The sequence below is a fragment of the Homo sapiens genome, chromosome 5, assembly GCF_000001405.40.
Source record: "Homo sapiens chromosome 5, GRCh38.p14 Primary Assembly".
Taxonomy (NCBI): domain Eukaryota; kingdom Metazoa; phylum Chordata; class Mammalia; order Primates; family Hominidae; genus Homo; species Homo sapiens.
The window spans coordinates 58,868,264-58,893,479 of NC_000005.10; the positions used below are offsets into that span (position 1 = coordinate 58,868,264).

Sequence of the window (25,216 nt, forward strand, 5' to 3'; positions counted from 1 at the left end):
TATAGGATATATTCATTATCCTGATCACACTGCCGATTGCATAGGTGAGGTGATTTTAAAATAGGTTCTCAAAAAATCTTGACATTCTTGCCTTCAAGAAGTAGAACTGAATTTCTCTTCCTTTCACTACAGGCTGAACTTAGTGACTTGCTCCGAACAGGATAAAGAAGTGGTGACATGGCCGGGCGCGGTGGCTCACACCTGTAATCCCAGAACTTTGGGAGGCCGAGGCGGGTGGATCACGAGGTCAGGAGTTTGAGACAAGCCTGGCCAACATGGTGAAACCCCGTCTCTACTAAAAATACAAAAAATACTAGCTGGGCGTGGTGGTGGGCACCTCAGTCCTCAGGAGACTGAGGCAGGAAAATAGCTTGAACCCCAGAGGCAGAGACTGCACTGAGCTGAAATCACTCCACTGCGCTACAGCCTGGGCGACAGTATGAGACTCCGTCTCTATCTTTTTTTTTTTTTTTTTTAGACAGAGTCTTGCTGTGTTACCCAGGCTGGAGTGCAGTGGCATGATCTTGGCTCACTGAACCTCCCAGGTTCAAGGGATTCTCCTGCCTCAGCCTCCCAAGTAGCTGAGATTACAGGCACCTGCCACCACACCTGGCTAATTTTGTATTTTTAGTAGTGACGGGGTTTCACCATGTTGGTCAGGCTGGTCTCGAACTCCTGACCGCGGGTGATCCATCCACCTCAGCTTCCCAAATTGCTGGGATTACAGGCATGAGCCACCACACCCGGCTGACTCTGTCTCAAAAAAAAAAGAAAAAGAAAAAAGTGATGATAGCCTTTGGAGCCGAAGTCATGACAGGTACTGTGGTTTCCTTTAGGCTTGTTCTCTTTTGTATCACTCACTCTGGAGGAAATTACCATGTCGTGAAGGCATTTAAGCAATCTAAGGCCTCTTGTCCACAGCAAGCAAAAACCTGAGGCCTCTTGCCACTAGCCATGAGAATGAACCATGATGGAGTCAAGTCCTCCAGCCTCATTCAAACCTTCAGACGTCTGCAGCACCCTGGCATCCTGGCTAGAGCCTTATGAAAGGTCCGGAGCCTGGGCCACCCAGCTAAGCCACTCCCATATCCCTGACCAACAGAACCTGTGAAATAGCAAGTACTTCTTGTTTTAAGCCACTAATTTTGTGGATAATTTGTTACACAGAAATAGGTAACAATACACCAGATGTATATATGTGTAACATTTATCCAATTATATATTTTAAATATGACCAGTTTATTATTTGCCAGTTATAACTAAAAGCTAAAAATGCAAAAGATATGTCGCAGAATTAAAGTACTATGATCTATTACTATAGGAGTATTTGGCTCTTTTAAGAAGACAATGTGCAGATTAGAGTCATGTATAGAACTAGATTTTTGGTAAAACAGACAAAAAACATTCCAGGAAAGAATGATGTGACCTGTTATCTACACATTAGAAATAAACATTCAGCTATTATTGCTGGATTCATACTTCTGTTGATTGTCAATATCTTTTCCTTATTCAACTCAACAACCTATAATAGCCTAAAAAGAAACTGTGGACACTAGACAATTTCTAGCTAACAGTAGTGGAGATGCTTTAAATTGAATACAATCCATTTCTGACTATAGTAACTAATGGAGGCAAGAAACAGCTCTAGGACAACACAGAAAATTAGGTTTGATTTTGAAGAAGGAGAATGGCATGGGAAGGAAATACTGTATTTATAATGAAATGTATATGTATATAATTTGAATACACACAGAGAGAGAAATGAGGAGACAGAAAGAGAGGGACAGCAAGACAGAGACAGAGAGAGGCAGGGAGATACAGACAGACAGACAGCAAGACAGAGAGATACAGAGTGAGATACAGAAACGAGAGACAGCAAGACAGAGCCAGAGAAAGCACATGTGATACAAAGAGCAATAGAGAGAGAGCAGTAGATACATACAGCAAAATTGTGGAAGAGAGACAGTTTACAGTTTAAGTAATTTTGTATGTTAGTTTTATTTTTCCACCTCTCATTGTATTATGAGCATCTTCCCAAGTTATCCCCCACATCAATATTTTTAATAAAAAAAGAGAGAGAAACACAGAGAGACATTATTTTTAATGACTAGATTCCAATGATTTTAGTGTAGATATTATATGTTTATAAGCAGTCCCCTTTTATTCACATTTTGGTTGTTTCTAACTTTTTGGTCATCAGTATGGCTGTGACTTCTAGCTCTCTAGCTAGAGCTTTGCTCTCTTTAGGACAAATTTCTGAAAGTGAAATTTCACTGTGTACGAACATTTTAAATCTCTTATTACAACTTACCAAATTGCTTTCCAAAAACACCACACCAATTTACAGATTCATTGGCATGATATAAAATTCTTGTCTTACCACATTCTTGCCAGGACTGTAGAATTTTTTTAATTGTGCCATTTATTTTTCCTGAGTTTCTGAAACATTTTAAAAGAGCTTTTTTACCATCCCCACAACTACCTTACACCATTTTTGTTTCCTGCATTGAAAACATTTTCATTTGAAGGTAACTCCTTTTTTAAGCATGGTAAGGCCTTTTAAACAGCAAGATTAACATTGATTTTCTGTGATTTGACATCAAATAGAAATTAGTAACCAAATCTCAAATAAACCATTCAATTAATCAATTTTTCTTAATACGAGATAAATGTCTAAAATAGGTTTGAATAGAATAACATACAAGAAGTGAAGGCCCAAGGACCAGATTCTCACTTGAAACTAAGTATTTAATGAAATCGAAGGTAACACACATAAACTAGAACCACTGAGGAAAAGGTTTCCAGAGCTAGCTCTATGAGAATGCCAAAAGCCTATAAGCCCCTTTATACTAGGAAAATTGCATTTAAATTTTAAGAGGCAGTCACATAAAAGACAAGAACCAAAATAAAGTGTGTCTAACAAACTTGAGTTTGGGGAATGCACAATATTTTTCAACAAGACTGTGGTCATCAGACCTATCACACATTAGTTACATTGTGCTTTACATTGAGTTATTTTGTTCAGTTCTCACCAAACTCCTAAAATGTAGTCTATCTATCTAGCATCATAAATAGTAATATATGAGAAAAATGAGGCTTAGAGAAAGCAAATAACTTGCCCAAAGTGACAGACACAGGAGGTAGTAGGGATTGATTTTAAAGCTAGGTCTTTCTGATGCCAAATCCCTCTACTCTTACCTGCACATAGTTATCAAAGACTCAATTCATGGTTTTATTAGACTGTTTTCTTTGTTGAAGATACTAGACTGGAGGCGGCATGCCATAGTAAATGAGTGTAGGCTTTGGATTTGGACATCCTTGAATTTGAATCTTGCCCCTGTAGGCTAGATTCTAATGTCCATGATCTTTGGTTTCCTTATAATAGCATCTCACGTTAGAGTCAGGATGAAGTGATAAAATGCCCAGGACAATGTGATACTCAATATGTAGTAGCTAATCCTGAACTTTAAAAAAAAAGTGTTAAAAAATATGTAGTAGGTATTATTATTTGTATATTATTTATATGCCAAGAGGACAAGACTGAAAAGGAAATTTTGTACCCAATTGCCACCACCAGAGGGCAGAGTAAAAATTGTTGTGTCTTTCTCTATGTCAGTGTTAAACTAGAACGTGATGTGAGAGCATAATTTACACACCACTTACCAATCCTTAGATCCTGAGAGAGGGATCTAATTGACTTAAAAAGATAATAAGCAAAAACATACAAAAGAAATACATGAAGAATAATCTAAATATTATATAAATTCAGTTCATATAATTGATGTATGCAATTATGTAAATATTATTGAAGCAGGAAAGTTTAGCAGTGAGGAAAAATATAAAGTCATCATGAGAAGATTTTTACTGTTGAAAAAGTAATCAGCAAGGAAAAGTAATATCCTTATAATTATTCTAAAATATGATGTAGGGATAAAGTGAAGAAATTGGGAGATGGAAAAATTATACTAGTACAGCGCTCTCTCCGTTAAGCAATACAAGTGGAAAAATATTTTCCAGAAATAAAGTGTTAAATCTGAAAATACCACAGAAGTAAGAACTTGCTGGAGGGATGGAGGCAGGCAACACTCTTACAGACTGAAAGAATTGCTTAAATATAGGTACTCCTGAGTTATCAAAGATTGCCCAGGGAATATGCTTGCCAAAGAAAATAAAATCAAACATTTCTGACCTCTCTTCAGTGTCTCACCCAGTGGTAACCACTTAACATTAACATATACATTTCCTCCAGAAAGGCAGAGTCTATGGGGAATCGGATGTGTCCGTGGCCAGCTTAATGTTATAGATCTTTTTCAGAAATATCGAATCTATTGACTGGATTTGATATTGGTTGGAAAGAAACCAATAGCCAATCATTATTAAAAAAGCGTGTTTTACCGATGCTTGACATGTAAATTGGTATTCTGCAAAGTGTGTTTTGCTTCTTAATTACTTAATCTTTCAAACAAAAATCAAGTCCTAGGTAATTTTTCTACCTTATTAGCTAAGAATGACTTTCGATACAACAGACAAACTCTCATACCCACTAAACTCAGGACAGCAATGAGGCTAATGGACTTCTGGGAAGACTGCCATGAAAACAGAGCTTCCATTATGTTGTCTGGCCTCACTCCTCCCATGACTCCTCTCAGGTGTGCAGACACTCTGACACCTCCGACTCCTGTAGGCTTTGCAGGGGGAGCTCCCCAAACTGCTCAATACAAAGCGGAAGTCCACTCAATGACCCTTACTGCTCAAAGGCTCACGTCCCCTAGGGATCTTCTCAGTGGCTACCAAATGCCTATCTGTGAATCCAACAGGTGCATCAGAATCACGTGAGTGTGTCTGTGGGAATGGGGAGGAATAGGGATTACTACAATTACACAACATTCCCAGATCCAACCTCAGACCTACTGAGTAGAATCTCCCACACAGGATGTCAATAATCTACATTTTTAACTGTTAGATAAATCTCATAAACACCAAATTTCAGAATTGCTGAACAAGATGAGATATAACAAATTGGGTATAATAACAAGAATACCAAATTTTGTCCAGGGTATACTGTGTGTACAGTAACTTAACATGCATTTTTCCACTGAACCATCACAGCTGTCCCATAAGAAAACCACAACTTTAAAACCCTACTTGTATCACTTACTTTACATGCATAATCTTTATGTATCCTTTATGAGGTAGGTTCTGTTGGCATCCTTATTGTATAATCTAGACAAGGAACCAAGGCTTTAAAGAATGATATGGTTGTTTAAGATTAGATTTGCAAAGTGAGTCAAGGTTTGAATTCAGACTGTCTAATGCCCCAAAACATGATCTTTCCACCACACAACATTGTCATGCTAACTTCTAAGGGGGACAGAGCCAGGCTTTGCCATTTGGGATGAAGAAATTTAAATCCAGAAGGCCTAAGACAACACCAGGATCCAGCTTATTTTTAAGTATCTGATGTTTCATTACCTTAACATTAACATTTTTTAGAGGCAGATTGAATGTTAGCTAACATTCAGTGAATATTCTAGAGAAAAAAAATTTATTCAAAGTGAGGCAAAGTTTACTAGTGCTTATCAAACTTTTCCACACAAAGTACCCCTAAACAAAATAAAACGACCAGAGGTATACAGGTAATGCAAAATTTACAATCTCCTATTTCGTCTTTAAAATTCTTGTCATTTTGCATTTTGTCCTATATATACATATTTTTTTCCATTAGTTTAGGTTTGTTCTCCAGAAAGGTGTGCCATCTTTCCCCCCTGAAAATTTGCATATGATTACCTCTGCATGAGAAGCATAGATTTGGGTACTATTCTGTCCAGAGCTATTAGTGTTTTAATATCAGACTGAGCCTTACACCGAAAGGATGAATCTCTAACTACAGAGTTGAATATCAATGGTGGGAAGGCAATTTGATGGGCAGATGAAATGTTTACATTTCTGTAAAATCATGCAAAGGAGGCTGACACCCACTTTGCCCAAGGGCAAAGCACAAGTTTCATGGGGCTCCAGTGGCTTCTAATTTGGAGCAAAACTAATTTGGGTAATTATCTAATTTATCTTGATTGACAATTCTGAACTGTTCAGAGTGAAATTTTAATATAGCAAAGCTTAATAATATAATTTGTAAAACCTATTTCAGGCTTTAAGTTTAGGGAGAAATATTCTTGATATTTTGTATATAAGGGACATAGTATCACTGAACATATGGAGGTTGTGAACAAACTAGCTGTATATTAAAAATATGGTGGGATGTACCCTTTACAATTGAGTTTTACTATGCAATATCATTCAGGTTTTCTAGGTGTAGCCATGTCACCAACTTGCTGTGTGACCTTAGGAATGTAATATTACCTCCCCAACTCTAATCTATTCATCAAAAATAAGGATTCTGAATCATATAGCTAGGTCTAACGTTCTATGATTCCACAGCCCAGACTTCGCCTTCACTGAAGCTGTAAGAAGATTGGCATAGTATCAGGGAGAATCTCATTAGAAAACTCTCTTTTGACTTTATGCCAAAAGTGAACTATCTTTCACTGTATCATTTAGAGTATGTTTGACTGCAAATAACAAAATCTAACTCAAAGTGATTTTAAATATAGATGTTTTTAAAATCCAACATAACAAAAATCCCAGAAGTAGGATGGGCTCAGGGCTGGTTGATATAATGGCTTATCAATGTAATTAAGACCCAGGATCTTCTGAACTTTGATGCCTATTCCATCTATAAGCAGGTAGCCAGATAGCTTCAGTGGAACCAAGCATCACATCCAGATAAAATAGTGCAAGGAAGAAAAGAGAATATCTCCTCTGGGACTTTCTCTTAAGTGAGAGATCTTTCCTAGAATAAAACCCCCTGACCCCCAACCAGCAGCAGGACCAGGCTTCTTAGGTCTTATTGACCAGAATGTGATTATATATGCTCTACCTGGAACCCATCACTGTCCAAGAGTCCCCTGGTTGGCTTGGACCAAGCATTTAGAGTGAAATAGATGTTGAGGGTCAATTGCAAGCCCACTATATTCCCCCTCCAGCTCTGCCTTCATCTCTCACATAAGCACTGGCTGTCCCGCCATTCCATCTTCTATCAAACAGTAGCTGACAGCTGATACTATGCAATGGCGCTCAACCCTAGGTGTTCAGGATAGTCAGCCGGTGACTGTTTTTAAAAACACCTAGCCTAGGCTGCACCACAGATAAATTATAGTGGAATTTCTGAGGGTAAGGGCAGGTGACCCCAGTTTGTCCAGGATTATAGCAGTTAGGGATTGAACCAAGTCTTCTGACTCTTGGTTCAATGATCTTCCACTACTAGCTTCTACTCTCTTATTCCATGCAGTTCTATATATGTAAAAATGATTGGACTCACTAGACTAATATTCTACAAAGCTTACTTCCTATGAAAATAACAAAACAGGTCAAGTTTTAGATCAGCGTTTCTCTCCCCTAACTTTTCCTTTTCAGATTTCTTCAGAAATAACTAAAAAGACTGCTATCCAGTTCTGACTTGTGTTTGATAGCCCCCTAATGTAGTGTTGCAGTAAATGCATCTTTTACCACACACTTTAGCGGAAAGTTCACGTTTTACCACAATCTGATGTATTATGGCATGCATGAATTCACTATTTTGTAGTCAAACATTACTGAGTTTTAAAGAATGTTTCTTGTTGTGTTTTAAAATGGATCTCAAGAGCACACAAATTTAAGCCCCTATAGGACAAAGAAAGAAGCCACACAGCTCCTCCCCTGCTATCTCCTTATGGGGGGAGGCAAAAAGGAATAAGCATTTTAAATCCTAATTTCACTTTAAAGTCAAACAGTTCAAGAAGTTGAAAGTCAACAATGTTCTTCCCACAACATTTTAAATTTTCAAGATGTTTATTTCAACTCCTGTTTGTTATCACACCTCAAAGTAAGCATGTTTGCATAAAGATATTGAAAAGGAAGGGAATATCATTTTCAAATCTTTAAATGAAAGTGAAAAGTGCTCAGCCAAATTAGAAATAATAATATAAATAGAAATAAACTGGGCAAGGGGGTGCTATTTCATCCATCTAGAAACTGTATCAAGCCAAGAACCCCTTCTGTAAGGAGATGGACTTGTAAAAGGAAAAAACAAACCACCTCTCAGGCGGGCTCGCCCCAACAGAAGTAGGAGGGAGGAGCATACCTAAGTAAAAAGCCTACTAAATATTTCATAAACCAAGTTTATAAGATTGCTTCTATCTTTATAATTTTAATTGCTTCCTGCCTTTCACTTTTCTTTCTTCCTTTTCTCTGTAAAGAAATCGCCCTCCCTCACTCCTGTGGCTTTAACTCTCACGCCCAAAGCAGCTGCTCCACAAAGTGCTTTACAGCTTGCTGACTTGACCTTTCTTCAGCTCCTCTAATATAACTTTTCTTATTAGCCAACTATTCAATCCAGCTCTTTCTCGTGATGTTTAAAATTTGTCTCTGTGGTCATAATATCCTCTGGTCAACCAAGCTTGAAGCCATTCATTCCCCAACACCCACTTCTCCTTCACCCCTAATACCCAGGTCTCATCGCCTCTACTACTCACATTCTAGGGCAGGAGCAGAACCCAAATTTTAGGCACACGTACCCTGCAGTGAGCCTGTCTAATTCCCATCCAGTGCCCCCAGTTTCCAGATTTGTGACCGTGGGAAAGCTATTTGACTTCTCTGTGGCTCAGTTTCCTCACCTGCAAAGAGAGGTGGTGATACTTCAATGGGTTGTCCTAAGGATTAAATTAGATACACAGAGCACTAAAAGAGTGGGCACTCGATACATATTTGCTACTATTTTATATTTAGGGCCTTATGTGTATACATCTTTACCTCTGCACCACCCGCCCAATGGAGTTGCCTTAATTATTCTTCACCACATATCCTATACCTCCCAAAGAATCACCCCTCCATTCCCATTCCACTGCTCAGAAATTGTCTGTGGTTCTCAGTTGACAAAGAGGTTTGATCCAGCCTCCATCATCGGCACTTGCCATAGGCTTAGCCTGCAATTCTAGCTTCGTGCCCCACAACCAACGTTTGCCAACTCCAGCTCCATCAGGCCACGCCCCATTGCTCATTAGATTGCAGCCACCTTCCGTCTTCCTTTCCTCTTCTTCCTCCCTCCCCACCAAGTCCTTAATTTAACTCTGAGCTATTTCAAATAAATAAATAAATAATCACAGAGAATCATATAACAAATTTACTCTCTATTCAGTGCTATCAGTTCCAAACATTTTGCACACCAGCTTTAGATCTTTTTAAAGAGAGAAAATGTTACCAAAGTATCTGAAGCACCTGTGTGTCCCTTTCCTGATCCCATTCCCCTCACAAAGTCCCCAGAGGTAAGCACGATCCTAAATGTGGTGTTTGTGATTCCTGTGTAATTTTTAAGTATTATTGTCCATCAAAAGAAAAGCCTGAGAAACTGTCACAACAAAAGGGGGTCAAAAACGACTGACAAAAAATTAATATGATATCCTAGATGAATCTTGGAACACAAAAAGACATTTAAAAACTAAACAAATTTGAAAAGTATGGACTTCAGTTTATAATAATGAATAAATATTGGTTCATTAATTGTGACAAATGTGCCCTATTAATGTAAGATACTAATAATAGGGGAAACGAGGTGTGGAGTATACAGAAACTGCACTGTCTTCTTAATTTTTCAGTAAGTCTATAACTATTCTAAAATAAGATATTTTTTAAATATATTAATACCACCTATATATATAACCGTGAGGATTGTTCTATGTTTTCCAACTCATGTGAATAGTACCATGCATATATTTCGTTATACAACTTATTTTCCATTGGTTAGTCTCCAATGGCCTACCCCACTTCCATTTTCTGTCCTTCTCCATGATGATGGGCCCCAAAAGAGGAACTCCCATGGACTGCATCTGCAGGCTCCCTTGTTAGATTGGATTTATCCATTGGAAAGCAAAGGAGATTGAAGAAAGGCAGAAGAGAAAGTATGATGTGCTAGGCAGAAAATGCCTTCCCAAAGATGTCCATGTTCTAATCCCCAGAACCTGTAATATATTACCTTATATGACAAAAGAGATTGCACAGATGTGATTAAAGAACTTCAAATGGGGAGATTGTCTGGGATTATCTGAGTGGGCCCAATGTCATCAGAAGGGTTCTCATAAGAGGAAGGCAAAAGGGTCATGGTTAGACAAAGGGATCAGAAGATGCTACACTGCTGGATTTGAAGGTGGAAAAAGGGACCATGGGTCAAGGAATGCAGGCGGCTCCTAGAAAGTGGAAAAGTGAAGGAAATAGATTCTCTCCCCAGAACTTCCAGAAGGAATGCAGCCTTGCCAACACCTTGATTTTAGCCTAGTGAAATCTATTTTGCATTTATGATCTCCAGAACTACAATATAATAAATTTTAAGTTTTAAGCCATTAAGTTTCTGGTAATTTGTTACTGCACCTATACGAAACTAGTGCAGGCTGGGCATGGTGGCTCATGCTTGTAATCCCAGCACTTTGGGAGGCCGAGGCGGGTGGATCACCTGACATCAAGAGTTCGAGACCAGCCTGACCAACATGGTGAAACCCTGTCTCTACTAAAAACACAAAAATTAGCTAGCGTGGTTGTGGGCGTCTGTAATCCCAGCTACTTGGGAGGCTGAGGCAGGAGAATCGCTTGAATCTGGGAGGCGGAAGTTGCAGTGAGCCAAGATCGAGCCACTGCACTCCAGCCTGGGCAACAGGGCGAGACTCTGTCTCAAAAAAAAAAAAAAAAAAAAGAAAGAAAGAAAGAAATGAAAAGAAAAGAAAAGAAAAAAAGAAATTAATGCATAGAAGATATGTCTTCCCAGCTGGCTGCATTTCTGGAATGGCTTCCTTCTAGTTAATAGATCCCTTCTAGCAGGTTCTCTTCTGTGGCTTCTGCTCTCAGGAGGTTCCATCACCACTAAATCCCTCCCTTTCTCACTTCAAGCCTAGAGGCAGTAAACATTTCCTTCTGTTGCTAATTCCCACATGTTTTACTAACTCTCTGGTTCCATTCATACAGCCATGCCTCTGCACATGGTCTCTTCATTGAATTACCGTCTGTTAAATGTCATAGGTGTGCCATATTTTCCTGATGGGACCCTGATCTCTCACTACAATGTTTTTGTGATATATCCATGTGGATACATGTAGCTCCTAGAATGCCATCATCATCTAATGAAAGAAGTGCTGTCATAGGACTCATTATCACATAATGATACCTATAGCTGCTTTGGAAGGAAAATTCATAATCTTGGGTGAAGCTGGGGCCAGTCAAGAGTTATTCCAGAAATTCCTCTGGATTCCCATAGCACCCTTTTTGTACTTGCCACCCCTGTCCTTTTTGCTTTGATGTGTATGTGTGTGCCTCATCTTTCCTAAAAGCAGGAACTATGTCTTTCTGCATCTTTCTGTAGCAGATCACATTTGTAACCTGAACAATGGCTATCAGTACATCTTTTCCCAACCAGTTTTTCTCCTCGAGTTCTGCCTTTTTATTAATGACACCAAAATTCTCCTAGCCACACAATCCTGAAGCCTCAGGCATCTTATATTTTTTCTGACCTTTACCCTGCTAAGTTGCCATTTGCTAAGGACAAGCAGCATCTAAGGCTCGTGGCCATAAATCCATAGTTCTTCATCACATCCCCTCCTTTCGTCCCCATCATAGCTCCCTTGGTTTAGGCCCCATTAACTTGTCATTAGGTCTGGAATAACTCTAGATGGGCCTCAGCTTCATCCAAGATGCTGAATTCCCCTTCCAAAGTAGCTATACACTTCATTATATGGTAATGAATCCTATGACAGCATCTCTTCCATTAGATGATAATGCCATCCTAGGATAGCATCCCTTTCCAGCTCACACACCTTCAGGGATCAGAACTGACTCCAGAGCTCTCCAGTGAGCATTCAAACCCAGTGGGAGCCTGGACCCACTTACTTCTCTCCCTTTCCCCCAACCCTTACAACTGGCCACTGCCTCCTTCTCCAAATATGTCTCATCATTTTCCTGCATCTGTCTTTGTTCATACTCGGTCTTTTATTTGGAAGACCTTCCATTGGTGTTGAAATTTTCACTCTGGCTAATATCTTATCAAATGTTACCTACTTGAAAAACTAGGCATCTCTTCCCATTCCCTTCCCACCTCCACTGCCTGCCATGGAGCCACCATCATTATATTTGGATATCTTCTCTCTCTCCCTGGAATCTTACACACTCAGTAGGTTGTGATTCCTTTTGATTTCTTTTATAACACTTAGCTTATTGTTCCCAGCTTTATGTCAGGTATGAGTTTCTATAAATTCTTTCTATAGAAGACAGAGACAATGTTTTAATATTTTTAATTCTCCCATGGAAACTACTATCAGATTGTGCATATAATAGATGTTCAATTCATAGAAATTTATAAACAAGAGAAAGCTGGGAAATAAGAGGAATCTATTGAAGTGGAAGAAATCTTAGAACTGGATGAAATGTTAGAGGTTATCCAATCCAACTCAAAGTCCATTCTGTCTCTCTCTTCCTTAAATGTTTCAATGTCTCCTTATTATCTTAGAATAAAGTCAAAATTCTCAGTATGGACTGAGATCACCATGATTGGACCCCTGTATCCCCCAGCCTCGTCCTGGACCACAGCGCCCCTCTGCTCCAAAGCAGCCTTGCCCTTCTTGCACGGCCCTTCATTGTGCTGCTTGTTTGTTCCCTCCTGCTCTCCTCCTCCAAACTTCAGTAAAATAGCTCACACTCATCTGCAGGTCTCAGCCTAGCTTCACTTCCTTCACTCATTCATTCCACAGTATTCACTAGGTATCTACTATGTGCCAGGAACCCTTGTAAACCCTGGGGATGGAGCAGGGGACATAGCACACAAAGATCTCTGCTCCCATGGGACTCACATGCTTGCTTCTGGAAGTGAGTCTTGCCTCCAACCCCAACATACTCATGCCAGGACTGTTCACCTCTATTAGACACTGTCATCACACTCCAGAGCCCTCCTCTGCAGTACTTACCACAATCATAGGTGTTCACTGATTTATGTCATTGATGATTATCTTCCTCAGTAAGCTAAAAGGTTCTTGAGGGCTAGGTCACTGTGTGCTTTCATCGTTTTTATGTCAACCACATCAAGCTCAGTGCCAGGCACATGGTAGGTCCTCAGTAAATGTTTTGAATGATAGAATAAAGTAATGAAATTAAGACCTTTGCTATACAGATGAGGAAACTACGGTCCTGAACTTGAGGCAGGCTGTGGGTCACCAACCTCTGCCCATAACATAATGAGTTAGGACCAGGATTAGGACCTGGGCTACAGGACTCCCATTCCAGTACACATTTCACTTTAATAAAATTGAAATGTAAAAGGGGAAGCAAATGAGTTGGGAAAGGTGTGGGGCAAAGGTGAAAGAAGAAAAAATATGCCAAGAAGAGAAAAGGAGAAAACAGGAAAAATATTTTTTGTTGACTAAATATAACAGAAGAATAGGTAAAGGGCAGGCGTGTTAATAGATGATGAGACAAGCGGCGCAGGAACCTCCAAGAGGAGACCGTCAGCCACAACACCATGTGTCTCTACCTGGGCCCTTGTTCCACAACTTTGCAGTAAGCACTTGTCTCTGTTTTGAAATAGGCGGGGCACCCAGCACCCTTAATTCCCCTTCCTGAGAGTGTTGGATGGCGTCCATTTGCCCCTCCATGTCTACTCCTGACTTTTCTCCACCTCGCTCTGTTTGAAAGGCTGACTTCCAAGGATGGCACCGTGGGCTCCCTGGTCCTCTAGATTCTGGTTTAGCCAATGGGAGGCAGCAGCAGGAGACTGAAAGAAAGGAAGGGAAAAGGACCAGTGCCCCCACTGCCAGGCCATGCGTTGGAAGTGGCTGCCTTTCTTCGCATGTACCAGAGCTTCTACAGTGTCACCACACTTCACGAATAGCTCCTTACCCTTTCAGGGCTAGGAGTGGAAATGGCTTCTCACAGCTGCTGGCCCTGGAGAACTTCACTGTCTCCTGTTCATTTTCCATATTCCTACTTATGCCTTATAATTATGGTAGTTTTTCATTAAACTCTTTTGAGTCATCACAGTTGAGAGTGCCATCTATTTCCTGACAAGAATATTACTAATAAATCAGGCTTGCAGAATCCCCTACCTTGGGGGACATAGACCTCTTTATAGAAGCCCAATGCTCCTTTTCTCAGTTTCCCTTGCAACTGGGCTCCACCAATGGGGTGCACCCACCTGAGAGTTTAAATCTGAAGCTGGAAGAGCAAAAGGATGAACTGAATAGAATCCAACCTGGTGGGGAAGACTGCAGGTTTGATCAATTCCTAGCTGTATAGGCTCTAAGTCTAGTTTTTCAACCTCTGCTAGAATTCTGAAAATAATGTCCTCTGTTTCACCAAGCCAGAACTGAATTCCACGGTTGACAGCTGAGATGACTGAGAATGCCCTCTTCTTGATCCCGTAACTCTTGATGCCTGACTGATTCTTCTAACATTCTCTCATTGTAGGTTAAGTTTGACTTTTTTTTTATAGTTTCATTTTATTTTTAAGTGACAAATAATAATTGTTTATTATTTATGGGTTACAATGTAATGTTTCAATACACGTATACATTACAGAATGATCACATCAGCCTTACTAGCATATCCATCACCTCAGATATTTATCATTTATTTGTGGTGAAAGCATTTAAAATCCTCTTTTTTAAAACCCTCTCTTTTAGCTATTTTGAAATATACATTATTATTAACTATAGTCACCTTGCTGTGCAATAGAACACCAGAACTGATTTCACCCAACTCTAACTTTGTACCTGTTGACCAATGTCTCCCTTTTCCCAATCCACCATGTCCACCTCCCTCCGCAGCCCCTGGTTACCACCAATCTACTCTCTACTTCTCTGGGTTTGACTTTTTTCGATTCCACATGTCAGTGAGAACATATCGCATTTGTCTCTCTGTGCCTGGCTTCTTTCACTTAACATAATATCTTCTAGGTTCATCCACATTGTTGCAAATGACAGAATTTCCTGTTTGTGTAAGGTTGAGTACTATTCCATTGTCTATCTACATCACATTTTAAAAAATTCATTCATCTGTTGATGAGTGCTTAGGTTGTTTCCATAGCTTGGCTATTGTGAATAATGCTGCAATAAACATGAAGCATCTCTTCGCCATACTGATTTCCATTCCTTTGGATATATACCCAGTGGTAGGATTGCTGTATCATATGGTAGCTCTATTTTTAATTTTTTTAGATGCCTCCATACTGATTTCCAAAATGGCTCCACTAATTTACAATACCATCAGCAGTATATAAGGGTTCCCTTTTCTCCACAACGTTTCCAAAACTTACCTTTCATCTTTTTGATAGTAGTCAATCTAACAGGTGTAAGGTAATATCTCATTGTGGTTTTAATTTGCATTTCTCTGATGATTAGTGATGTTGAGCATTTTTTTCATTTCTGTAGGCCATTTGTATGACTTCTTTTGAGAACTGTCTATTCAAGTCATTTGTCTGTTTTTTAATAGAGTTCTGTTCTTGTCATTGAGCAGTTTGAGTTCCTTGTATATTTTGGATATTAGTCCCTTATCCTATGTACAACTGGCAAATATTTTCTCCTAATCCTTGGGTTGTCTTTTCGCTCTATTAATTGTTTCCTTTGCTATGCAGAAGCTTTTTAGTTTGACACAATTTTACTTGTCTGTTTTTACTTTTGTTGCCTGTGCTTTTGGGTCACACTCAAGAAATCTTTGCCCTGACCAATGTCATGGAGAATTTCCTGTATGTTTTCTTCCAGTAGATTTATAGTCGTAGGTCCTAAATTTAAGTCTTTAATTCATTTTGAGTTGATTCTTATATAAGGGGTGAGATAAGGGTCCATTTTTATTCTTCTGCATGTTGATATCCAGTTTTATCAGCATCATTTATTGAAGAGTCTGTCATTTTTGCATTATGTGTTCTTGGCACCTTTGTCAAAAACCAGTTGACCATAGATGTGTGGTTTTATTTATAAACTCTCTATCCTATTTGATGTGTATGTTTTTATGCCAGTACCACACAGTTTCGATTACTATAGCTTTGTAATATACTTTGAAATCTGGTAGTGGCAGTATTATGCCTCCAGTTTTCCTCTTTTTGGTCAAGATTACTTGGCTATTTGGGATTTTTGTGGTTCCACATTAATTTTAGGTTTGTATTTTATATTTCTGTGAAGAATCACATTGGATTTTGATAGGGATTGCATTGAATCTATAGATCACCCTGGATAATAAGGACATTTTAACAATATTAATTCTATCTGTAAACACAGGAAATATTTCTATTTATTCGTGTCATCTTCAATTTTTTTAATCAATGTTTTACAGTTTTCATCACTTCCTTGCTTAAATTTACTCCTAAGCATTTTATTTATTTTGTGATGCTATTTTAAGTGGGATTGTTTTCTTAATTTCTTTTTCAGATCATTTGCTGTTGGTGTATAGAAATGCTGCTGATTTTTGTAAGTTGATTTTGTATCCTGCAATTTACTGAATTCATTTATCAATTCTAACAGTGTTTTTTTGGTGGAGTCGAGGATTTTCTATATATAACATTATATTTAGTGCAAACAGAGACAATTTCCCTTCATTCTTTCCTATTTTGATACCTTTTATTTCTTTCCCTTGCCTAATTTTTCTGGCTAGGATTTCCAGTACTGTGTTGAACAGAAATGGTAAGAGTGGGCATCCGTGTCTTGTTCCTGATCTTAGAGGAAAAGCTTTCAACTTTTCACCGATGAGTATGACATTAGCTGTGGGCTTGACATATATAGCCTATATTGTGTTGCGAAACATTCCTTTTACACCTGATTCGTTGAGAGCAAATTTGATGTTAATACCTCTCATTCCTACAGGGAACATTGTTTTCTTTTTTTCCAGTCTCTAAGATTGATCTTACATAACTTGACTTAAAAAATAATATTAATAATAATAAACCTGTAAAAGTAGATCACTTGGAAATTAGAAAAATAGAGTTGCTATTTGGTCTGCAGGAGGTCCTGAATCCAAACATTCTTCTCCTCTCATTAGCCCTGGCCTTAGTCTGCTCGTTAGTGGTTTCCAGAGAAACTCTACTTCTGACTTCTTGCCCTCACATTATCTAAAGATTAACCATGAAGAGTTACACTGACAAGACTATTTCTGACCCTGGCCTTTTGCTGCTTTTCCGAGGAGGCTAAGTGTGACTCAAATTAAGAAAGGGGAGAAAAACCCTTCTAAATAATGTGTGACCTATGTTATTAAACACATTCTGTAGGTTTTCACTATACACAACTAATATATATGGCCATGTGCACATGAGTGTTTTAACCCAAGGGACTGCAGAATATATCCCAATTTACTTTTGTTCTGATGGACTGCTCAGAAACTGGATATTGGGGGATTTCATTTTCAATTTGATAATCCCTATTGTGGATTCCAAGCCAGTTCCAGTCATCCCATTTCACACAAAATCTAAGAAATAGGCTCAATTTATCCATAGCTTGAAAGTAGAGTATGTGGTACATTATTCCACGAGGGCAGTCATCAACACCTGCTAATCATTACTGTATGTTTTCATATATTTTCTCTCACAACCCACCAGCACCTAATATTCTAGCTGGTAGGAGGCTTAAAATTCATCTGGTTAAATTCCTCTCTTTTATATATACAAAGAAACTGGATTCAGAAATGTGAAGTGTTGCCCAGGTCAGGCAGCTGCTAAAAGGCAAACCCAGTTGCCAACATAATTCTTTTTTGGCTCCCAAATGAGTGTACTTTCAAACCTCAGGAATCTAACTCTCCAAATAACAAGGGGGAAAAAAAACAGCTTCAGGTCTTTATTTAATAGAGGTCTTTCAAAAATCCAGAGGTCCATTACATTTGCCTAAAAAAAATAGTTATCTGTAGGAGGAAATAAAAAAGAATGTGCTATTTACATTTTAGATAGGAGGAAACTGAAGAATAGAAAATACTTCTAAGATTTTTGTGATAGTAACAAAATCAAGCATAGAGCTTTGTCAAAAGAGCTCACTTTGTAAAGTGAACCATCTTTGGACAGTAAATGTGGTAACAAGTAAAATGGTGATTCAAAAAGAAATCAAAGTGCTAGTTGCGGAATTGGTTGAGCGCCCTCTGTTTCAGGCCAAGCGACTGAGGCAGTGATTTCGGCAGATCAGGGCTCTCTGCATGGCTGAGGAGGAGAGGACAGGGCCAGGAGCATGGGCCTGGAATACGGCTCTTCAGTCAGATCCTGCGCCATAACTCCCAATCTGTGTGATCTTGGCAATTTAGGGAGCTACATCTCCTCATTTGTAAAATGTGGAAACAATTATACCACTTCATGTGGTTATTATGAAACTTGGGATCTGGTATGCAATAAGTTTTCTCATTTTCATTATCAACAAAAGAGTCTAAGCACAGATCTATGAGTTCACACAGGGCCTGTCTTAGCAGTTACCTCTTTCGAAATTTGGTGGATGGGAAATGAAAAACGCGTGCTCAGAACAGCCACTAGAGGGAGCTCTCAGGTCACCCTGGCATGGTGGAGGCCGGGCGCCCCGGCAGCCCAGATACATACCCAGGCATTCCCACCTGGTACCAGCAAGCACAGGACCTTACAGGAAACCCAACACCCTAAGGCTGAGGCCCACGGATTTGCAGATCAGATCTCCTCCTTAAGCTGAGGTTTCTGTGGGAAGGCACTTTTCAAGTAGCCTGAAACTGCTGTTCTTCACTGTGTTCAGAACTCAGTTGTGGAGTGTCTCTGACAATAGACTGAGATACTTAAACAGGAAGGAGACTGTGTGTGTGTCCATCTACTCCCGATGATAGATAAATAGATAGATAGGTAGGTAGATAGGTAGATAGATAGATAGATGACAGATAGATAGATGACAGATAGATAGATAGATAGATAGATAGATAAACAGAAGATAGCAGAGTCACAGTTGCCCCTTTATAAATGTAACCACAACTGTGCATTTCTAAGTGGGGACAAAATGGAGGGAGCTGTGGGGACTGTGGACACTCTGGGAGCCTGACCCACTGTGTGTTCTTTTAGAATTGCAGGGCCTGGGGCTGGGGCAGGGAGGGCACTGCCAATCTCTAAGTGGCACAGCACCTACAGCCTGCCTGGGTTCATTTCAGGCAAAATGTGTGTGTTCTCTTTAGGGTGAGGCAAGAGCCAAGCGCCCCAGGCCAAGGATGGAGGATGTGCTTGCCCTCATCCCAAGCCCATGTCTCTGCCCCACTGCGCCAACATCACCCCCCACCGCCCTGCTCAGGCATAACCTTCATGGTCCCTCTCTTCTCCTTACCAAATCTAAAATGCTGAGAAAGAATCTGATTTCCTTGTTTACTCCTCAGGTTGATTTAGCACTTACATCTTAAAACCTAGCCGTAATTTTTGATTTACAGGCTTTGTTTTTGCTGACTCCTTTCAACTCTCACCTTCCAGCATCTTCAACTGTCACCCCAAGCCCAGAACAGTCATCATCATCAGACTGAAGTGTCTTACCCATTGCTTCTGTGAACTTCTAAGAGCAAAAGTATGGGGAGTTTCTTCACTGAAGACGCTCTCCCTGACTTCCTGTTCTCCTCACATCCTGTCACTAAGCTCCTGGCTTCATCGGGTCAGTTCTGACTTGCAGGGGTGAAGAGAGACTGGTAGAGGCAGAGGGAGGTCACATGCTGGCTCCCAGGTCAGGGTGCAAAGCAGTCTGCAGCCTCGGAGAGAGGCTGTCTGTTGTCATTTCTCTCTGTAAGGGTCCAGGCCTTGCCATGAGGGTGAAGGTCACCCCAAAAGTCCACTGCAGTTTTCCATCCTCTAATCTGAAGCCAGACCTTTGTTCTGGCCCCTTCAGCTCTGAAGCGGCTGAACCATTTCCCTGCTGGCCTCATGTCCAAGCTCTTTGACTTTTGGGTGCAAATGATGTCTGGACAGCTGCTGGCCTTAACTTGGCGGCTGGACCTCTGGGCTCTGCTCTCGGGAAGTCTGACTCACTTTGCTGGGGTTATGCCCTCCCTGTTTCTTTCCATCTCCTCTCCCCTTTTTTCCTTTTGGGCTCAGACACTGGGCGGCCCCCAGCCCCTCTTGCTCAACCTACAGACCTCTTCAACCTCTTTTTGCCTTAGAAAAATCAGTTTTGTAAAATCCATTAACGTCCTAACAAGAATTCCAAGTCACAAGCATTCCCATTAGGGTGCCCACCTCCCAGTCATTTCTCCCCTTCCCCACCTCCCTCTGTGGGGATTTGTAGTAGAAATGCGTAGAAGAAATGCTTGTGGAAGGAACTATCATCTTTCCCTGTGAAGTCCTGAAGATCTCCCCTTAATGTTTCGAAAATAGTGGAGCCTACAATTGCTCTTTGAGTTGGGGGCATTGTTGGCCATTTGCTTGTTTTTCAACTACAAGAGCCTTTTCCCTCCTTCAAAAACCAACCACACACACAAAAACCCACATGAGCCATCCTGTCTTGGATATGCATCCCTGGGGTTAGCCCAGTGCTGGTTTTTATGTGTCTGCAAAATTCCTCCATTACCCACCCTAAATTGTCACCTCATTTCTTGCCAGTCTGGATCTACACACTGAGACCAGGAGACCATAAAAAAAGAGAGAGAGAGAGAAAGGAAGAAAGAGAAAGAAAGAAACAGAGAGAGAAGAAAAGAAGGAAAGAAAGAAAGAAGAAAGAAAGAAAGAGAGAAAGAAAGAAAGAAAGAAAGAAAGAAAGAAAGAAAGAAAGAAAGAAAGAAAGAAAGGAAGGAAGGAAGGAAGGAAGGAAGGAAGGAAGGAAGGAAGGAAGGAAGGAAGAAAGGAAGGAAGAAAGAAAGAGAAAAGCACATACATACAGCAAAGAGGAATTGATTGTGTTTGCTTCTTGCCTCAGGGATAGTTTGTTGCCATTGATTTCAGGTCATCTGGAATATACAATTTTGCCAGTCCTTTAACCACAGTTTTAGTAAATAGGATAATTAATTGAGCAGATTTTAAAAACAAAGTTCTATGAGAGATCTCTCCATGGTAGCCCCCAAATCCAGTGCTCTGTCTTCTCTCAATGCTACAATGACTCTCCACTGTGCTCAAATGTATGCCATTTGTGCATCCACTTCTGGCCTCTAACAGGAGGTGAATAATTTTGCTGAGAGACTGGAGAGTTGTAGAGAATTAGAGATAATTTCTCTGCTCCTGTGCTCTGTGTACACAAACACAAGCTGGACACAGGCCCGTGGGAATAAACCCCGGGTGCAGGCAGTATTTCCTGAAACCTAAGACACTGCATGCTGGACTCACTAAACCTTAAGGATGGAGGCAGTGTGGTTAAACACCTCCAGTTTTCAGATAAATAGACAGGTCTGTGATCTTCTGGAAGCAGAGCAGAAGATGGAAGCTTGGACTCTGGCACTGAGTTGCCTGGATTGGAATCTGACCTCTTTAATTCCTGGCTGCTCTGCAACCTTAGGTATAGTGCCTAACCATTCTGTGCTCAGCTTCTCTATCTGTGAGATACAGATAATTATAGGCTGGATGCAGCGGCTCATGCCTGTAATCCCAGCACTTTGGGAGACCGAGGCCGGCAGATCACCTGAGGTCAGGAGTTTGAGACCAGCTTGCCCGACATGGTGAAACCCCACCTGTACTAAAAATACAAAAATTAACCAGGCTTAGTGGCGTGTGCCTATAAGCCCAGTTACTCGGGAGGCTGAGGCAGGAGAATCGCTTGAACCCGTGAGGCAGAGGTTGCAGTGAGCCAAGATCCTACCACTGCACTCCAACCTGCGTGACAGCGAGACTCCCTCTCAAAAAAAAAAAAAAAAAAAAAGAGAGAGAGATAATTGTAGCATTTGCCTCATAGGGTTAGTTGACCAAGCAAGTTGATACATTTACAGCACCTGGGTGAGCCCCGTGCTGAGCCTGTGGTTGCTCCTTGATAAATAGACCATGGATGAATGAATGAATAATTCAACAGGGACTGGTGTACCCACTTCGCAGATCAAGAAATGAGGCTAGAGAAGTTATGGGGTGCACCCAAGGCTACAAAACTAGTGAGAGGTGACATGAGGCCCCAAAAGCAGCTCCTGGCCCCCTGCCACCACATCACATGGTCACCCCATTGCTGATGACCCCGGTAAAGCTCAGCAAGCCAAGGTGCGGTCACCTCGGTCCTGTCCTGCCTCCGACACTCAGCGAATGACCTGTCCTCAAACCTGGCAAACAGTAGGCTCTATGTGCAAAGCACCAGCTTTAACCCAGCACCTCCTCCCACTCCAGTGGGGCAATTCACTGTCGAATCTTCTCGGCGACGCAGGTAGGAAACCCCCGGCATCTGCTCATTAGGGCTCCTTCTCATTTTTTAAACGGAATTGTCATACTGGCTACCTCTGTGCTCGCACAGACTACCACAGCGCTGCCACCAAGTGTGAGGAGCCCAAGATCTTTGTTCTCTCTTTGTTCTGAAGGTGACTATTTCTTCAGGGCACGCCTTCCATCCCTCTCCTCTGCCCACCCCTACTTGCTATTCTGATGGAGTTCTCTGTCTCAGATGAGAAGAGGGGACTCCGACTGTGCGGTCCCCGCTTCCCTTCTCTCCCTTTGTCCTCCTCCCTCCATCAGACATCACGATACTCTTCTTTGCCTGCTTTCCTCTGCCTGTTCTTCTTATTTTATGCCCTCTGTGCTCTTAAGGGGGAAGAAAGGGGGGCTTCCAGTGATAAGCCCTCAGCTCCCTGTTCCCAAATGCATCCTAATCAAAATGGGACAGTTGTGACACCACATCCTAGGACTATTAAAATGTCCTCTTTGTTGTTTCACCCCACAGCGGACAGATTAAGGACACAGGCATCTGTTGGGAAGCATAATTGTCACTGCTCAGTTCCATTATCCCAAGGAGCAGCCTCCTCTGACGTTATCGCAAGTGACCTTGAGCTGCCCAAGAAAAATGCTGTGTCTGTTCTAACGTTCTTGGCGACCAGAATTCCCCCAGAGGAGCAATTGCGTCAAGGATGAATAAGATCAAGAGCAGCAAAAATCACATCATTCATCCGGTACAGAGGGAGGATTTCAGGCTGGATTTTATGTGGTTAGGTTGCAAGTTTTTTTGTTTTTTGAAGATGTTTTATTGCTTGGGAAGGTGAAGTGTAGCCTTAAAGTATTCTCATTCTGTGATGACACCCTGGCCCCAGGGGAGAGCTCTGGCAAATGCTCAGGGGACCCTCCCTCCTAGCCTTTGTTTTTTTAGTGATGACTGTGGATGTGGAGAATGCAGGAGGCACAATCTTCTTGGCAATGTGTTTCTGCTGTCGTCACACTGTGCACTTTAAGTACAGATTTCTATTTCACTTTTCCTCTGCACCCGCCCATCTCACTCTTGCATCTGGTGCCCCCCGCCCCTCCCCCGTGTTGCTGGCTTCTTTTCCACCCCTGTGTGTTCTTTGAGCCACTTGAATTTCACTCTGTCCTTTGACCTTTGCCGCGCCATGAGCTTGCCTTTCTCACCTCCCTGAGTTACCCTCAGCCTAAAGGCCAGACCGATGATACTGTGGCCTGAGGAAGCTCACAGATGGCACCCCCGAGGAACAATGGGATAAATGCTGCACGTGGCAGAAATCACCGCCAGATGGCACTCTACTAAATTCCCTGCACATCTCGGCTCTGATGAGAAATTACCAACTGTTTATTATATAAAAAAAAAAAAAACAGATCACTGAAAAGCATCATGAGAAGTAACTCAGCCCAGTGACCTCCAAATGTTTTTCATTTCTGATCCATATCAGTAAAACTTTTTGACCATGCACATCCACATGTACTTATTTGTAAATATAGATGTACTACTCTCAGTCTGTATTAAATATTAGCAAAACATAAAATATGTTTACATAAAAATCAAAGTTCCATATATATAGATATTCTAATACTTTCTTCCTGTACTACAAAGAATAGTTTTATACACATCCAAGGGTATATAAAATTGATCTACCTCATATTTCTCTTCTTCAAAAGGACCTTTATTTTTCAATAAAACAAGTTTTGTTTTGTTTTGTTTTTCATTTTTTTGAGATGGAGTCTTGCTCTGTTGCCCAGGCTGGAGTACACTGGTGCGATCTTGGCTCACTGCAACCTCTGCCTCCTGGGTTCAAGCAATTCTCCTGCCTCAGCCTCCCAAGTAGCTGGTACTATAGGTGTGCACCACCACACCCAGCTAATTTTTTGTATTTTTAGCAGAGACAGGGTTTTGCCATATTGGCCAGGCTGGTCTCAAACTCCTGGTCTCAAGTGATCTGCCCACCTTGGCCTCTCAAAGTGCTGGGATTACAGGCGTGGGCCACCATGCCTGGCCCAAAACAAGTATGTTTTTTAGCATGTACTGTGTACTCAGCACTGTAGAAGGGACAAAAAATGACTCAAATTGATTAAAATATTCTCAATCTACCAAGTTCACATACTATAGCTGTTGAGGCAAGACGTTATAACAGATGTCAAAGATTCAGAGTATAAAACAATATGCATTGTTCTCACTTCTAAGTGGGAGCTGAACCAATGTGAACACATAGACACAGGGAGGGTAACAACACACACTGGGGCCTATCAGAGGGGCGGGGGGCGGGGGGAGAGCATCAGAAAAAATAGCTAATGCACGCGGGGCTTAAGACCTAGGTGATGGGTTGATAGGTGCAGCAATACACCATGGCACACATTTACTTACGTAACAAACCTGCACATCCTGCACATGTACCCTGGAACTTAAAAAAAAATCTTAAAAAAATGAAAAAAATAAAAAGTAAGAGACAGGGAAAAAAATGTGTGTATCAGCCAGGAACTTAGTTGTGAACAATATAATCCACTCTTATTATTTTAAGGAAAAAGGAATTTATTAGGTGGCTTATAGAATTTCTTGCAGGACCAGTAAGCTAGGGTTAGATAATGTGCTGTAGCCGGAAGAAATAATCAACCACCCAAGGGATATTCTGGTGGAAATCACTGATGCAGTTGCCCATCACTCTGCACCAGTGACACCAGGGACCAGAGAGTGCAAACTCTGCTAAAGATACCGAGGGGAGGCATGCTTTGGCTACCCCACTTGCAAAGAAAGTTGAGCTCCCTGAACAGATGCAGCCACATGCTACCATGAAGGAAGAAGAGACCAATGCAAAGCCGGGGCTTCCTCCTTCACTGTAGCAT

General features: G+C 41.0%; 1 annotated feature.

Annotated features, from left to right (window-relative positions):
* Positions 22,406-23,605: an enhancer, noted in NCBI's record as "P300/CBP strongly-dependent group 1 enhancer chr5:58186496-58187695 (GRCh37/hg19 assembly coordinates)". NCBI's record gives its function as "activates an origin of replication core promoter dependent on BRD2, BRD4, P300/CBP, MED14 and CDK7 cofactors, with strong dependence on P300/CBP, by STARR-seq in HCT116 cells {active_cell/tissue: HCT116}" and the evidence as "EXISTENCE:reporter gene assay evidence [ECO:0000049][PMID:35650434]".